The sequence below is a fragment of the Homo sapiens genome, chromosome 10 (assembly GCF_000001405.40).
Source record: "Homo sapiens chromosome 10, GRCh38.p14 Primary Assembly".
In the NCBI taxonomy this organism is placed as follows: Eukaryota; Metazoa; Chordata; class Mammalia; order Primates; family Hominidae; genus Homo; species Homo sapiens.
The window spans coordinates 131,839,429-131,856,535 of NC_000010.11; the positions used below are offsets into that span (position 1 = coordinate 131,839,429).

Genomic DNA, 17,107 nt, shown 5'->3' on the forward strand with positions numbered 1-17,107 from the left:
TCCCGGCCACTCCTGTTCAGATACAGCTAGCTCCGTGGCTTGGCTCTCCCGGCCTTGAGCCCGCTGTGGTCTGTGAGCATAGGGACGTCCTGCAGCAGGCAGGGGACCTAAATCATCCTGTGCCATGGTTCAGGCTCCCTGATCCCCTTGGAGCCAGCTGGTGAGTGGGGAGTCAGGTCCGGTTGTAGGGTCCAGCCCCACAGGGTCGGTGGGTCTTTTTCCCCATGTGCAGAGACCAGAGAGTGTAAAAATAAATACACAAGACAAAGAGGTAAAAGACAAGACAGCTGGGCCCAGGGGATCACTACCACCAAGACGCGGAGACTGGTAGTGGCCCCAAATGCCAGGCTGCGCTAATGTTTATTGGATACAAGACAAAGGGGCAGGGTAAGGAGTGTGAGCCATCTCCAATGATAGGTAAGGTCACGTGGGTCACGTGTCCACTGGATAGGGGGCCCTTCCCTGCCTGGCAGCTGAGGCAGAGAGAGACAGGGAGAGAGAGAGACAGCTTGCACTATTATTTCTGCACATCAGAGACTTTTAGTACTTTCACTAATTTGCTACTGCTATCTAAAAGGCAGAGCCAGGTGTACAGGGCGGAACATGAAGGCAGACTAGGGGCATGACCACTGAAGCACAGCATCACAGGGACACAGTTAGGCCTCTGGAAAACTGTGGGCGGGCCTGACTGTGTGGGCCCTCCATCAATCAGGCCCTCCACAGGAGGTGGAGGAGCAGAGTCTTCTTTAAACCCCCCCCCGGGGAAAGGGAGACTCCCTCTCCCAGTCCGCTAAGTAGCGGGTGTTTTTCCTTGACACTGACGCTACCACTAGACCATGGTCCGCTTGGCAATGGGCATCTTCCCAGACGCTGGCGTTACCGCTAGACCAAGGAGCCCTCTGGTGGCCCTGTCCTGGCACGACAGAAGGCTCACATTCTTGTCTTCTGGTCACGTCTCACTATGTCCCTTCAGCTCCTATCTCTGTATGGCCTGGTTTTTCCTAGGTTATGATTGTAGAGTGAGGATTATTATAATATTGGAATAAAGAATAATTGTTACAAACTAATGATGAATGATATTCATATATAATCATATCTGTGATCTAGATCTAGTATAACTATTCTTATTTTATATATTTTATTACACTGGAACAGCTCGTGCCCTTGGTCTCTTGCCTCGGCACCTGGCTGGCTTGCCGCCCACATCCCATCAACCTTCTCTTGGGCAAATCAGCCACAAGCAGGGGCTGTGCCCAGGACACCAGGGAGCAACAAGGGCTTCCATCACTCCTGTAACAGGAAAACACACACACATACACACACATACAAACACACAAACTGGCAACACACACCACACAGACACACACATGCACACATACCACACATACAGACACACACCACACACATGCACACACATGCACACAAAAACACACACATACCACACATACAGACACACACATGCACACACATACATACATGCAGACATACACACCACATACACACGCACACACATGCACACAAACACAAATACAGACAACACACACACCCACACCACACAACACACATACACAACACACATACCACACACATGCAAACACACGCAGAAACACACATACACAGACACACATACACGACACACATATAAGCACACATACACACTCCAGATGTCCACAGGGGTGTGGGGCTGTCCCAGGCAAGCAAAGAGGCTTGGCCTTCACTGTGGGGCAGCTGAGCCCAGAGAAGAAGCCCCTTTCCCAGGGCCTCACCGCACACCCCGCGTGGGGCGTGGGAAATGCCTCACACTGCAGAGGCCTCGTTGGTGCCCTCCGGGTGTAGGGGCAGCACCTGTGATGTGCAGATAGCTCTCGGGACTAAATGGAGAAGGAGAGGATACGGAATTGCAGCCCAGCCTGACTCCCGCCACCAATAAGCATGAGGCCACAGAGGCATCTCAGGAAACACGAGGAAGTCCTGAGCTGCCTGGCAGGCAGTCCCGCAGCCCTGCTTCCCCCTCCCCTCTGCTGTCACCTCCTGTGGCACATGATGCAGATCAGGCTTCCGTGAGTTGAAGGGGAGCTGGGGAGGCTGGCCAGCCTTGAGCTCCGTGGGTCCTGGGCGAGAATGCAGTGTCGACATTGAGAGACGGCCATCGAGCTCAGGAACAATGAAATACAGCCGTCCCTCCACCCCGACACAGCCTGCACAGCACAGGGAAGGCCAGGCTCAAGTCCAGCTTCCTGCCTTGGTGTGGCAGCCTGAGGGGCACTGCCCACAGCCAGCCCCCGCCTTCCTCCCTGGCCCCACTCACCTGGAAGGACTCCTGTGCATGTCCCTGCATGACAGCCCCGCGGCCACCCTCAGCCATGTGTGCACCGGTGCTGAGACACCTCCCTCCCTGGGAGGACAGACTCTGGGGAGCTCCATGCAGGCCCTGAAAGGGGCGTGGCCCACCGTGCAGGGCCTCCTGGGGTGCCAGGTGCCTGGAATGTGGCCTAGAGGGAGACGTGTGTGAGCGCTCGGTGGACACAATGCCCCCAGTCTCGTGCCCTTTGAGATGGAGCCAGAGATGGCCGGAGAGGGCCGGAGATGGCCACAGAGGGCCGGAGAGGGCAGGAGAGGGCCGGAGATGGCCGGAGAGGGCCGGAGATGGCCAGAGAGGGCAGGAGAGGGCCGCAGAGGGCCGGAGAGGGCAGGAGAGGGCCGGAGATGGCCACAGAGGGCCGGAGAGGGCAGGAGAGGGCCGGAGAGGGCCGCAGAGGGCCACAGAGGGCCACAGAGGGCCACAGAAGGCCGCAGAGGGCCACAGAGGGCCGGAGAGGGCTGTAGAGGGCTGTAGAGGGCCAGAGAGGGCCAGAGAGGGCTGTAGAGGGCCACGCAGGCTCAAACTTGAGACCCACAGAGACAGAGCAGTCATGCGTGGAGAAGGCCTCCAGGCCACAGGCCCAGTCCTTCCCCTGTAGGTGGCGAGGGAGTGCCCCTTCTCCAGAGAGAAGATGATGCCACTCTGTCCTGACCCTCACCCACCTCCCCAGGTTGGGGTTCCAGTCCCTGCCCCACAGGGACAGCAGCCACCTGGATGGATCCCAGGGTTTCCCACTATGGGGGTCCAGAAAAGGTCAGCCTGTGACCTCAGTGTTGGGCCTGGCGTGTCAGGTCCAAGGGGTCCCTGCCCAAAGCTGAGTCCCTGGGCTCTCAAGCACCAGAAAGGTGGGGACCAGGCTCCAGGGTGCAGTGCACTCTCTGGCCGTGGGCAGGCTTCTCAACACACTGTCCTGCACAGAAAGCGCCCCGGCCCTGTGGACAAGCCCAGCCCTCAGGATGTTTGGCATGGAGCCCGTTTAACATCTTCCTGGTTGTGACTTCCGTGGTGTATGCTCACCTGGGGCATCTGCAGCCAACCGGGAGCTCCTTGAGGCCTGGGCCCTTCCTGGCTGCACCCCCTCCCTCTGGCTTTGCACCCTCGTTCTCCTGTCTCCCCACCTCCTCCCCAACCCCACCCATGGCGACCTCTGCCATCGACAGCCTGGGGACCCAGCTCACCGGACCTATGGCCAGCAGGGCAGGGAGCTCAGACCTCACTCGTGGATCCTCAACCTCACTATAAAGAGACCAGATGCCATCCTAGGTGTGGGGTCAGCACAGCCCCCCGCTCAGGGCATCTCTCGGCCTTATAGCTGCCCCTGGCCATCCCCAAGGCCAGAAACCAAGGGGCCTGGGCCACTCTTTGGTGCCAGGCCACACCACAGGTCACAGCCAGCCAGGGGCCGCAGCTCACATCCACAGCAACCCAGGTTCTGACAGCTGCCCAGAGGGCTTGAGTGGGGACAGGTCTGGCGGGCGAGGGTGGCACCCAGACACAGAGTTGGCACAGGCTCATCCATCCCCTACACCCAACACTCTGTGGCTCCAGCCCATGTAATCACTCGGGCTTTGCAAACATGTTTTCCGCTGCCCACAGAACTGATGTCCAACCAGGACGCATTCAGCCGCCTTTCTTCCAACCAGCTGCAGCCCCTGCAAAGTCAGAGCTAGCAACTTCAACCATGTCCCTGAACTCTGTCCTGTATGCACACCCCTTCAGCCCATTCCTGGTGTGTCTTCTCTGTTAGCCTGGGCAGGAAGAACCTCTACCTGAGCATGTGACTCCTTCCTGGGAGACACTTTAGATACATGAAATCTAGACATGTCAAACTCACGGCTTTGCGGCATGCACTGTCCCCAGTAATTAGCCACTGCTGTGGGTGCATATTGAACGAGACACCAGTGAGGGCTCTGCACATTCTCTCACTAAACCCCTCTGAAGTCACCTTTCCCAGTTCACCAATCAGTCCACTGACTGGAGTCCACTGACTCCACCCAGATAGGCTACAAAATGGTCCCGGGTGTAAATCTAGGGCTGACCCTGGCATTTGAACCCCCCACCGTCTACCCCATGCTGCCTCCCCACTCATAAAACCCCCAGCTCCAGAGAGAGAAAGGTCCATGTTGGCAGGAGAACACTTGAGAGCAGGACCCCTGGGGACGGCACAGTCGCTAGAGGCCGGGATTTCAGGGCCCTCAGTGGGCAGCACAGTCGCTGGAGGCTGGGACTGCGTTTATGAGACGGTCCCTCCCCAGGTAGGTCCACACAGGTATCAGCCACAGAAGAAAGGTGTGCATATTTGGGTAGCTGAGGGGCCACACGGTGACTTCTGAGGCTGGGTTGTATGAGATGACGTTGCTTCTGTGTTGCTGGTAACTCTCATGCATGAGCTGCCAGGTGCGAGTCCGCCCCCACCGAGGCCGCCATGCAGTGAGGAGGCCACGCCACCCGGAGAAGCCGTGTGTGGACACCCCGCCAGCAGTCCTGAGCCCCAAGTCTTCCCAGTACAGGTTCCAGAACATGCTGGAGTAGACAAGCCACCCCCACTGCACCCTCAGCAAGTTTCTGACCTTCTGAACCAGAAAGCTCCATAAACTGACTGCTCGGTTCTGGGGTGATTTGTTACACAGCAGTCATAAGTGAAATGCTGCCAGTGACCGCAATGGTTTCATTTTTCCATTCTACACAAGAGAGCCAAAGCTTTGGGCAAGAGAGAGAAGACCAGAGAAGTAATCTCAACACACGTGTTTCGTTTCCCTGTGCTAATGAGGACACACTTTCCTAGGGCAAGCCAACCACTCCACAGCTTCCTTCTTCCCTACTCGAAAGAGGGGAGTTAATGGCACTTACAGAAGCTACCACCCCTCTTCCCACCCTGGCTAAGATGGGCAGGTGGTGGCCCTGCTTTGCCATGTCAGCCGTCGGCTGCTCTGAATTCGGATTCACTCATTCCCACCCTGGCTAAGATGGGCAGGTGTTGGCCCTGCTTCGCCATGTCAGCCGTCGGCTGTTCTGAATTCAGATTCGTTCACAGGCTGCTGACGACAATGCGGCCTCCTCAGGGGTTTCTCGGGACTCCTGCTTACCCTGCTGTCCTGGAGAAGCCTTGGGCAGCCTGATATTGATGAGCCCCGTCTGCTCCTAAAAGCTACGACTTCGAGCGGCTCGGAGAAGCGGGTGATGTGTGCAGCGTTTAGCAGAGCAGACCTTCCGTCGGCATTCAATGTAGAGAATGTTTGCTGCAATAAGCACAGCAAGACATGTTTCTTCAAGGATGTTTGACAGACAGTCTCTGGAGGCCATCTTCCCACATCACTTCTCCAGCAAAAAAATATGGTATTTATGTCTTTATTCTCAAAGAAGGAGATTTACTTTCTTAATAATGGAAATCTTGCCGTGATCGGGTTTTGTTGCTGGAATGAATGTCTCCACTTGTTGTGCCAATCCGCTGTGAGAGAGGTTTAATTGATAACTTGAGATTTACCATCTCAAGCTATGAAACATCTGGGAAGCTTGAGAAACTCATGTTTTTATAGCCTTAAGGCTACTGGCAAGTTGATAAACATAAGATATGGATAATTTAAATGTTTAAGCATTTAATTACTAGTAAATGGGAGATGTTTGGTTTTATGTTGTGTAGCTGATTATTTCATAAGTTTTCATTTAAGCATCCGGTAACAGAAGCCGATTCTCGGTCTCTCAGCCTCGTTCCTTGGTGCCATTCTTTGGAAAGCAGCGCGCCAGGGAAGCCTGGGTGGGCCACAGCAGAATTCTACCCTCCGCCTCCAACGTCTTGGGCAAGACCCTCATCACCCGGGCACATCCCGCCACCCTCCCCGTGGCCTCTGAGAGCGTCCGCGAGCAGCTCCGCAGGCCTCGTCCTGGGCAAGACCTTCATCACTGGGCACATCCCGCCACCCTCCCCGTGGCCTCTGAGAGCATCCAAGAGCAGCTCCGCAGGCCTCCTCCCTGGCTCCCTCCCATCAGGTCAGAAGCCTTCTCCTCAGCTTGGGAGCGGCCATGGTGACCATGGTGACAGGGTCCCAGCCAGAAACCACAATGGGATGGAAACTCCTGGGGCTGCTGTCAGCAGCTGGGAGACACAGCGCTGGGGGAGACCAGGCATTCCCCAGGCCCAAGGGAGAAGCAGAGTCGGCCTCGCCTGAGCCAGACGCAGGCCTTGGGTTTACCCTCCATGGACCAGACGTAAAGTCTAATGGTGACATGAGATTTTTAATGTCTTTACATCTGCAGATGTACACGTCAGCAAAATTGCATCATACAAACCTCACTGCAGGCCCAGGCTTTCCTCTTTCCAGGTTTCACCAACCTCCTCCCTCCGTCTTGGCTGCCTGTCCCTCCACCAATCAGCTCTCACCTGCCCCAGGTGACCCGCGTTAACAGTGGCACATGAATTTCTCACATTCATACACACATAAATGCACGTCTCTTCAGGCAAATACACATTTGGAAAGGATTTTCCTCCTGGCTTGTCCTATGAACGTAAGAACGTGATCTGCACGTTTTTCTGAGAGTTGCTCTTTCTCCTAACCCACTCCTCCCCGTGCCCCACCCATGTGGCCAGCCCTCCGTGTCCACCATCCTCTGCTCCCTCCCAGGGCTTTGCTCCAGGAACGAAGTCCCAGGCAGCCTCCTAGGACACAAGTTTCTGTTCCTTCTGCTCCCTTGGGGTTTCCTCGTAGAATGAAGACTCCCAGTGGAGTTACTGGGTCAAAGAAGACCTGTATTTTTAGTTTCCCTCGAGTGGTGTCCACACCAGACTGGCTCCGCCAGGCCCGACTGTGCAGGCAGCCCATCCCAGCTGTGCACTCAACCCCACCCACCACGTCCACCTGATGTCCTCCTGGGGATAAGAGGGGAAGGGAAGGGACCGGGGAGCACAGGCGGCCCAGAGCTTGGCTAGCTGCCCATCACGGGGGACACCGCCCACACACCTGCTCCTCAGGTGACACTCTGAGCCGGGTCTGGGCTGGGACTCTGGTGTGAGCTGGCCAGGATCAGGCAGATCAGTCAGGAGTTGAGAGCTGGGGAGGGGAGGGCCCAGCAATGACTATGGCCTGTGAAAGGGTGAAGAGGGTCAGGCAGCCCGGGCAGGGGTGGGAAAAAGGAGAAACAGACCAGTGGGCTCCCCGCCAGACGTGACGGTCAGCTCCACTGCTGCGGCCTGACCCCTGGTGCACCGGCCCGAGAGCAGGCAGAAAAGTCACAGCCACTTTCCCATCGCCAGCCCCAGGACAGCAGGGAGGGTGGCCACGGCTGCTCCTGGCACAGCCGGCACCCAACTCATTCCTATCAAGATTTTACATGCACGGTCCCAAATGTTGCACTTTTAAATCTGGTTAATGCCACCAAATGACAGCAGACAAGGAGAGGGCGCAAGGTGCTGAGAGGTAAAAGGTCACGACAGAAGACAACGCCAGCAGCCCAGTGGGCGCCCCTTCCGCCTCTGGCCGCAAAGATCCGTTACGACGTCACATTGAAGGGTGGCTTCCGGTTACTTCCAGCAACCTAAGCCTCCGACTCCCGGGGAAAGCAGCTAAGCCACAAATGGCAGAGCCCCACCTTCATGAGCAGGGCCGCCAGACGAAAGCCAGTCTCAGCTCAGACTCCGGGTAACCAGTACAGGACGCCAGCTCCGTGTCAATCCACAGCGCAGGGCCTGCCACGCTGCCTGTGAGGGGTGTGGACGGAAAATGCAAAACGCCGCAGGTGTGGGTGAATGACCTCAAAGGCTGCTCTGCTTGAGAAGCATCTGAACCATGGAAGGGCCAGGCAAAGGCCGAGGCCAGGGAGGGACAGGCTGTGTCCTTCCTGCATCCCCCACATGGCCAGAGCCGCTGAGGCCGCCTCCTCGCCATCCTGGAGTGAACAACCCAGCCAGGCCACATGCAGGGGACAGGAGTCATTCAGCCTCTGCACCTTCATCTCACAGGCGAGGCTGGTGGGGGCCACACACACCAAGGGGTGACACGCAGTGCCTGCTACTCCTGCCTGCCCACCCCTCGGCCCCCACCCAGCACACAGACATCAGTTCTTCTCATTCCTCCTCATTCTGAGATTTAAAACTACACTGCCTGGTTCTTAAATATTTGCAATCCATCGAGTGTGATGCATTACCTAATCCTATCAGAGGATGCATTCCACTATTCCACTCACACCCTCTATGCGCTCAGGAAATGTTTGGCAGCATCATGAAAATTGAGTAATTCCAAGCAGAAATCAACAGTGGGGAGGGAGGAAAGTCTGTTTGGTACTTCTACTCTAACCAGGTAAGTCGTTTCCTCAAAGCAGGAAAACACCAAAGCTGGTCATTGAGTTGGAATTCTAAATCATACAAAATAGACGGATTTTCTACATTTTATAACCCATGTTGTTCCCACTCTAACAAACCCTAAGTGGGGTAAAATGGTAATACTCAGTAATACCAGATAATTAACAACTAGACCTGATGCTGCAGCCGCCATGAGGATGACACTGCTCCGACTGATTCTCCCGACCCAGGCCTGCCCAGCCACTGGTCACTGGACAAAGGTGACGCTGAGCCACCCACACCCCATCTGGCCAATGCATGGTCAGGGGACAACTCCACTGAAGCGTCCATAGTCCCAGCTCCAGAGGCGGGAAGCGGAGCCCTGAGCTGCCTGGGGCCTGGCGGGGACAGGACAGGTGCTGTGTGGTGCCCGCCTCGGGCCCCTCCCCTTGAGGTCTCCTAGGACCAGGCACTTGAGGCACACCCTTTAAAGGCCGAGGCCTCTCTCTCAGAACAAGAGATGTCAGCCACTGAGTTGCACGTGCATGTTCTCAGGAGGACCAGGCAGCCTGTCAAATGGATGCAACCTCCTCTCGGCCTTCCTTCAGGTGTGGGGGACACACACAGGTAACCAGCTCTGGAGTTGACTTCTAGCATCTGGTCCCAGGTGGGAACCATGGACCAAAGGAAGGTTGTTCCGTTGGACTGAGGCTGGAGCGAAGCTGAAGTGACAGGAAGACAAAAGCTACCGTCTCTCGGCCCCTGGGGGAGTTGTGCGGTCACAGTGGGCTCTTCCAGCAGGGCCCACCTCTGGCAGAAGTGCCAGGACCTCACGAAGCGGGCAGCGCCGCCAAGCATCCCTGTGTGTACGGCCGCCCGCGCTTCCCTTCCCCATCTGGTGCCAGAGACTTGGCAGGTCCAGGGCCCGCTTTGGAAGCCAGGCCTATTTAAAGCAGAAAACACAAGTCCCAGCTTTCAGAAGTGCATGCTGCACACAAATGTGCAAAACCACACAGGGGGGTCAATTAAGCAGGTGTCGCCGGCACCTGAGAAAACCAGGGGGAGGGTGCAGCTGCTGCTCTTGTTCTAGAATGAACAAGGCTGCGTGTGGATCCCACAGACAGACACCCTTGGGTGGCCCCGAGGACGCGGGAGAAAGTCCCCCTTCCCAGACCGGTCTCGATCTCATGGGATCAAGTTACCTGGCCCTAAATCCGACTGCTGGAGCCAGAGCCAGAGCCGTGCGGAGACACGGAGCCGGCCGAAGCCACTCAGGGTTGGAGCCGCCTCGCCACACCCAGGACCCTGGGCGCTACATTGAGGGTGGCTGGGTGCAGGGGTGATGGCGGCGGTTCCTAGTTGGCAGCCAGGAGACACGTACTCACTCCAGCTCCAGCAGAAAGCCAAGGTCAAGCCTTGCAGCTCCTCAGGTCCCGAGCTGGGGCGGTTCTGGACCAGGTGGCCTCAGGGACTCCACGGCCAGGGCTCAGGTCACCCTCACTCCCACCTCAAGAGCGGCCCTCGGCCCCTTGCGGGTTCTGCCACCCACCTCAGTCCCATCTCTACCCCTCCCACCAACACTCCTGGAAGAGTTAATATAATCACCCAAATATCCTGAGTTCACCATTGAAAATGAAAAGAAATTAAAAGAAATAAAACTAAAGGAAGTGGCCTCGCTGTGCACCCTGGGGTGTCGGGCCGGGCCCGATGCTTGTGTGCCACCCTTAAACAGGTGCTCATGAGAACCGGCCAGGACTAGGCCGGCTCACGCCTGCCCTACTGCGTTACCCCTGGTGGGGGTGGCAGGCAGGTAGCCCCTCAGGTGCCGCCCAGCACAAAGGGGCCCAGGAGCTGTGGGAGGCTATGCCACTGCCTACTCCTCCTCTAATTCTAAAGACCCCCAAGAAGCTCCAGTCAGCTGCTGAGAGTGCAACTGCTGCCTGGGCACCCCGGAGGCCACTTCCTGAGAGGCCTTGGGAAGGACTTTAGCCCGTGGCTTGGTCAAAAGCAGTACCCTACTTGGAGGACCGAGAGGCCTGTGGGTCGGAGATGGCTCAGAAAGGCCAGATCACAGAGAGAGACGAGCGCTTGACTGTAGATGCCTGGCTTCCGTGACAGAGCAGCTATTCTCCTTGAGCGCGTGAGTCGCACCCGACCCCGTAAAGTTAATGCAGATGGACCTCGGGAGGAGGCAGACCTGGCCACCCCCCGACCCCCAAGGCCTTTGTTACAGGAAAACACGTTGCCTTCACCCGACTCAGTGCCTTCATAACAAAGTACCTGCCAGGACACATCCCTCACGCGTGATTTGATGGAACGAAGTGCTGACATTTACAATGAAATACCACATCTTCCAGGGGCCCAAGTGCCCCGGAGCTCCTCCAAGCCCCGCTAGGGAGAACCCTTGTGGCTCAGCGCCCACCCTCCCACCCCAGGGCCGCCTTCTCCAACAGGCTTGTTCCAAGAATAACAAGAACCAATGAGAAGCCTCCACAAATAAGAAAATGCACACAGAGAATGACAAGGCATTGGAACCAGAATGACATCCACATTCTCAATAGCATCCGTGGAAGCTATAGGAAAATGAAGCTTCACCTTCATTGTCAATCTAGAATTTTCAACCAATGACTCAACAAAAAAAAAATGTGCAACATCATCTCAAGCCTAGATTCTACACTCAGTCAAACTACTGCTTGGACATGATGGTAAGGGATGACAATTTCACACATAGGAGGACTCCACTGTGTCACCTGCCACACACCTTTCCACCCACACACACCTTTCCACCCGCACACACCTTTCCACTCACACACCTTTCCACTCACACACACCTTTCCACCCGCACACACCTTTCCACCCGCACACACCTTTCCACCCGCACACACCTTTCCACCCACAAACACCTTTCCACCCGCACACACCTTTCCACCCGCAAACACCTTTCCACCCACACACACCTTTCCACCTGCACACACCTTTCCACCTACACATACCTTTCCACCCACACACACCTTTCCACCTGCACACACCTTTCCACCTACACATACCTTTCCACATACACACACCTTTCCACCCGCACACACCTTTCCACCCACACACACCTTTCCACCCGCACACACCTTTCCACCCGCACACACCTTTCCACCCGCACACACCTTTCCACCTACACACACCTTTCCACCCGAACATACCTTTCAACCTACACACACCTTTCCACCTACCACAAATCTTTCCACCTGCTGCACACCTTTCCACCTGCCACAAATCTTTTCACAGGAAGCTAGTGGAAAATATGCTCCATCAAAACAAAAAAGTAAAGCCAAAAAAAAAAAGAAAGAAAGAAAGACATGGGATCCGGGAAAAGGGGCCCAACACAGGACACGGGAAAATGCGAGATGGCGTGGGAAAATCCCAAGACGATAGCATATCTGTGAGCAAAAGCCAGGTTGGCGCTGTCGGCCAGAGACCTCAGGAAGGAATGCCTCGGTTAAATGAAAACTGAGCAAAGACCCAGATGATGCCGCTGAAAGAACCCGAAGGGTTTCTCTCCGGGAAAAGGGGCCAGGCCTGAGGATGGGAGTGTGGATGCTATTTGTTGCCTTACAGTACTTTGTAACTTTTCCAACTAAACACTTGTCATGTTTTAACATCAAAATAAAAATTAAGTTTAAAAAGTAGAGTGAATGCTCACAAAGACATATGTATAAGGATGGCCACTACAGTGTTGTCCATTAATTTTTTTAAAGCAGCCTAAATGTCCAAGCACAAAAGTAACCCCATTGATTTCATAGCAGCTGGGGACAGGGAGAGGGTCTGCCCCGGAATAATCACGATCCTATATGCACTTGTCATTCATAAGAGGATTCCAGAAACATTCATGTCCAGAGGAGGTTAGGATGCTTCGCAATCCATTCAACAAGCCTTCCTTTCTCTATCCCTCCCCATCAGACGCTCGGCCTCCCAAGGGCAGCTCTTTCTCAGGATTGACTGTCTCTACTCAGCACCAGGCATATCGTTGCTTTGTCCCTGTTTAATGTCTGGGGCCATTGATGGTACAGAAGATGAGGAGACCCCATTCCCACCGAGCACCCGCACAGCCTGTGTCTCTCGTGGCCGGCGTCTTTGAAGCCAGCAACAGAGCCCACTGCAGATACATGGTGAGAGGTGCATCCAAACCCCAACAAATGTCCTTCAAATGCAGCCCGCTCCGTCCCACACGCCACTCCCAGAAATGTATCCTCGGGAAGTGCTCCGAGAGGTGCACAAACAGGCACTCGAACAACGGCGATGAGCTCACTCTCCACGACGGATCGCCAGGGACGATCTAAATATCCACTCATGCTCCCGCACGCACGAGGTTCCCCAGCGCTCTGGGTCTCAGGCCGCCGGAGAGGAGTATTTAATGCGACACCAGCGCCGCTCGTGCGTGCTGTGAAGAGCAGCCGTTAAAAGCGGTTATGCAAATCTGTGTTTGCTGATTTGTTTAATGTGCACAACATACTGCTACGTGGGCCAAGCCTTATCCAAGAGTATTACCGTGTGATCCTTTGTGTCAGTTTTTCTGAATCTGGAAGGATGTGCGTCACGAGAGCAGGGGTGCTTATCTCCAGGGTGAACTCCTGGGTGAACTTTACTGCCCCCTTGACGGTTTTCTGATTTTTTTTTTTGAGAAGTATAATGTATGACTCTTGCACCCAAAAGCTATGTCCAAGACAGTGTTCAATTTACATCTTTCAGACAGTGTCCCACCATGAGGTGCCACCACCCCTTAGGACCCCGACGCCAGGCTGGTAATCACCCCTGTGCCCTCCAGGGAGACCTTGCAGCTGCCCAGCCTGGTCCTCGGGAAAGCCGAGAAAAGTTGCTCTGACACTTCTGCCCTTCCTGTCACTCACAAGTGCCACCCCAGCCTTCCCAAAGGTGGCCTGCAGCACACCACTCCCAAAGTGCGGGAGGACCCCAGGACCATCACCACCCCCTCCCGAAGACTGTTCTGGAACAGAAGCCCACCCTGCTCTGCCTCTGCCCGTGGAACTCCCAACACAGGGGAGGCACGGGGCCCGCCTGCCATTTGCGTTGGGACAGGGCCCTCTGTCGCCCACGGAGTGAAAGGCACCTCTGTTTCCACAGCCAGCAAAGGAGCTGCCCAGCCCGTGGGCCCAAAGGCCCGGGGAGCCCCCTTCCCTCATCTGCACCTCAAACCCCCAGGGTCCCCCACCCACCCCAGACCCCAAGAGGCTGAGGCAGGTGGAGACCCAGGCGGTGGCTGCAGAGGCCGTGGCCCTGGCTCCCGTGGCCTCCCCACAGCAGCAGCCCTCCAGTGAGCTCACTCACCACGATCATGTCCTGTCCCTCCCACCCCTGTCCAAGAACAGACACTGTCAGCAGGATGGGAGGGTCTCCCCAGGTCCCCGGTGACCCCTGTCCCGTGAGCAGGGTGACGGGGTCTCCCCAGGTCCCCGGTGACCCCTCTCCCGTGAGCAGGGTGACGGGGTCTCCCCAGGTCCCCGGTGACCCCTCTCCCTCCATTTCTCCTGAGTCCCTGGTCCCACCTTCCTCTCCAGGGGACCTGGCACTAAGGTAAATGTGAGTTTTCCATTCAAGCAGGATTTCAGAAACAGGTAACAGGACCCACTGGCCCAGTCCGTGCACTCCTGGGAATGAAAGGTAAAGAGCTGACGCTAAATACCCACAGCACTTTATGCATAAACAGAGTCCCCTACGTGGGTGCGCAATGATCTGGGGACAACCGGGGACTCGAGTGCCCGCCCGTCGGGGGTGAGGAGTAAGCTGTTGTTAAAAATGGTGACACGTAAGTATTTTTTAAATACAGGTGTAGCAGGACAAGTCGCAGACAAAACTCCTCGTACACCAGATTAAAGAAGGAAGAGGTTTTTATTCGGCCGGTAATGTCGGCAGACTCACGTCTTAAGAGCCGAGCTCCCCGAAAAAGAAACTCCTAGCCCTTTTAAGGGCTTAAAACTCTAAGGGGTCCACGTGAAAAGGTCGTGATAGATCAAGTAGGCGTGAGGAACGTGACTGGGGGCTACATACATCAGCTCACAGAACAAAAAGTTTTACCGTGCTTTCTCATACAATGTCTGGAACTTACAGATAACACCAGTAGTTTTGGTCAGGGGTTGTTATTATTATTATTATTGTTATTATTTTAACCACCACGGCCAGGCGGAGGCGCCAGGGCCGTCCAGCTATTTATCTTACTTCTGTTTCTTTTCACCCTTCTGCCTTCTCCCTTCTCTCCTGTCTTCTAAACGAGGGAAAAGCGGAGGTGGGGGAGAAGCTGGGAAGGACAACAGGAGAAGTGGTGGTCTCATTCCACAGGAAGAAGTCGGATACAGAGTTGTATCTATACCTTCATCACAAATCTATTCAAATGGCATATGAAAACCGACTGGTTGTTTTAGGAAGGCGGGAAGGTAGAGTTTTATCTGCTTTCACCCAGTCTTCAAGATACCACAGTAATCCAATCACAGAAACATCGCATTTAAAACTCACGGCCCCCCAGGAAGGCCACAGCTAGGCCCAAGTATTGGGTTATGGGGCAAGGGTTCCAACAGGGCCCCTCCAGGAACTACCTGGGACCCCGAGCACCCGTCCAGGCCCTCAGGTGAGACGCAGCAGAAACCTCTGCGTGAAGCCGGGTCCAGTTTCAGGACACCCTGGAGAGGAGCTGAGGACACTCGTGGCTCCTCGTGACTGGCTGAGTGAGACGCCAGCAGAGACCACGAGGACCTCACGCCACACCCGCGGGAGCCTGCAGCATCTCCCCAACTCCGGAGCCTCTCTCTGTCCACACCACGAGGGTCCTGCACACCCCCAGCCTCTCTCTGTCCACACCATGAGGGTCCAGCACATCTCCCCCACACACCCACCCTCTCTCTGACATCACTTGTTGGGGGTCCAGCACATCTCCCCCGCACCCCCAGCCTCTCTCTGTCCTTCCCTCCGACACACCTACCAAGTGAGGCTTCCTTCTGGGAAAACAAAGAATGTCCAAGAGGTCATTTGGCTGCTGCCAGGGAGAACAGTGACGAGGGGTTCCAGCCGGCAGGAGGCGACAGTCACACGCCTGGGGGCAGGTGGGGCTGGGAGCTGGAAGCCTCTGAGCTGTGCCCACTCCAGGGAGGTGGCCGAGGGACAGTCTTCAGTGTCCCCAAGGAGCTGAGCTGCCTGTAAGTCACTGTAGGAGGCTACTACCCTGTGTGTGCCACACACACACAAGACGGCCACCAAAATCCTTCATGTTCTGAGGCTGAAAAGGACAAGCAGGCCATGTGGCAGGCATGTGGACCCCAGCACCCAGGGGTGCATTTGCCATCCACCACTGGGAAACACGCCATCTCCAACTTCAAAGCTAGAATAGTATTTATCCCTTCACTGGTTCTGAGGGTGGGAAGTGTCCAAGCACCGTGCTCCCAGTGCCGAGGGCTGAGGTCAAGGTGTGGGCCGGGCAGAGTTCTCCTGTGCTGGCCTCAGGGTGCTGGCAGAGTCCACTGCCGTGTGGCTGCAAGACTGGGGTCACTGCTTGCTTGCTGGCTGTCAGCCAGGCCCACACCCAGGTCAGCGTGTCTCCTCTATCTTCAGAGTCACCCAGCCCAGCCCCAGAGGAATCCTCCCGGGCCAGATCCCTCCCATTTTGAACCCCAGCTGCCCAGAATTTCAAGGCCCCATTAAGGACTCACCTGACCAGCTCAGGGCCCAGCACATGCCCCCATTGAAGGTTCACTGAGCAAGGGCCCTCATTACACCTGCAGAATCCCTCCCCAGCAGCCTCTGGACTGTGGTGATTGGATGACAGGGGGAAGGTGTGTGCCCTGCAAGGACGGGCACCTGGGGGCCAGTTTAAAAGTCTGCCTTCCCAGGGCTATGGGGAAGACGAGCGGAGGCCCATTCAGGGCTGACACAGCATTTCTGGGACAGCCAGCACCTCCGGACGCTGGCCTTGGCAGAGCCCATGCCCTGGACCAGGCCCATCCATGGCCCGCCTGTCCCCAGGGAGTGGCTCCTCCCTCCAGGACCCCGAGGCCTGTCCTGTCAGTGCCCATCCCTGCACAGAGACCAAAGCACCCTTCATGCTGAAAGCCCATTCCCACAGCCACGCCTCCCAGAAGCACAGAAGCTGCAGCGGCAGGAGCCAGCGGTGCCCCTGGTGCTCTGGGGCAGAAGCCAACAGCGAACAGCACAGGTGGGTGGAATCGGTGGTGGGGTAGAGCCCAGGAGGGTGAGGCTGGACCCCCTGGAAATGCAGGTGCGGGCATCTCCACCGGGGAAATCAAGAGCTGTGACCGGCTGTGCCCACCCTGGCGGAGCGTGTGACTGGCAGTGTCTTTGGGCACATCTTTGGGTGTCTGTAACCCCAGAGGGACACTCTGAATGTCACCGACCCCCAACATTCCTGCCCTGGAAAGTCAGGAGCGGGCGAGGTGTCGCCCTCACAGGCTGGAGCAGGAGGG

General features: G+C 56.2%; 2 annotated features.

Moving 5' to 3' along the window:
* Positions 1,708-2,325: an enhancer, noted in NCBI's record as "H3K4me1 hESC enhancer chr10:133673472-133674089 (GRCh37/hg19 assembly coordinates)". NCBI's record gives its function as "activates a minimal SCP1, AML or CMV promoter by ChIP-STARR-seq in naive H9 embryonic stem cells {active_cell/tissue: H9 hESC(naive)}" and the evidence as "EXISTENCE:reporter gene assay evidence [ECO:0000049][PMID:30033119]".
* Positions 2,326-2,942: an enhancer, noted in NCBI's record as "H3K4me1 hESC enhancer chr10:133674090-133674706 (GRCh37/hg19 assembly coordinates)". NCBI's record gives its function as "activates a minimal SCP1, AML or CMV promoter by ChIP-STARR-seq in naive H9 embryonic stem cells {active_cell/tissue: H9 hESC(naive)}" and the evidence as "EXISTENCE:reporter gene assay evidence [ECO:0000049][PMID:30033119]".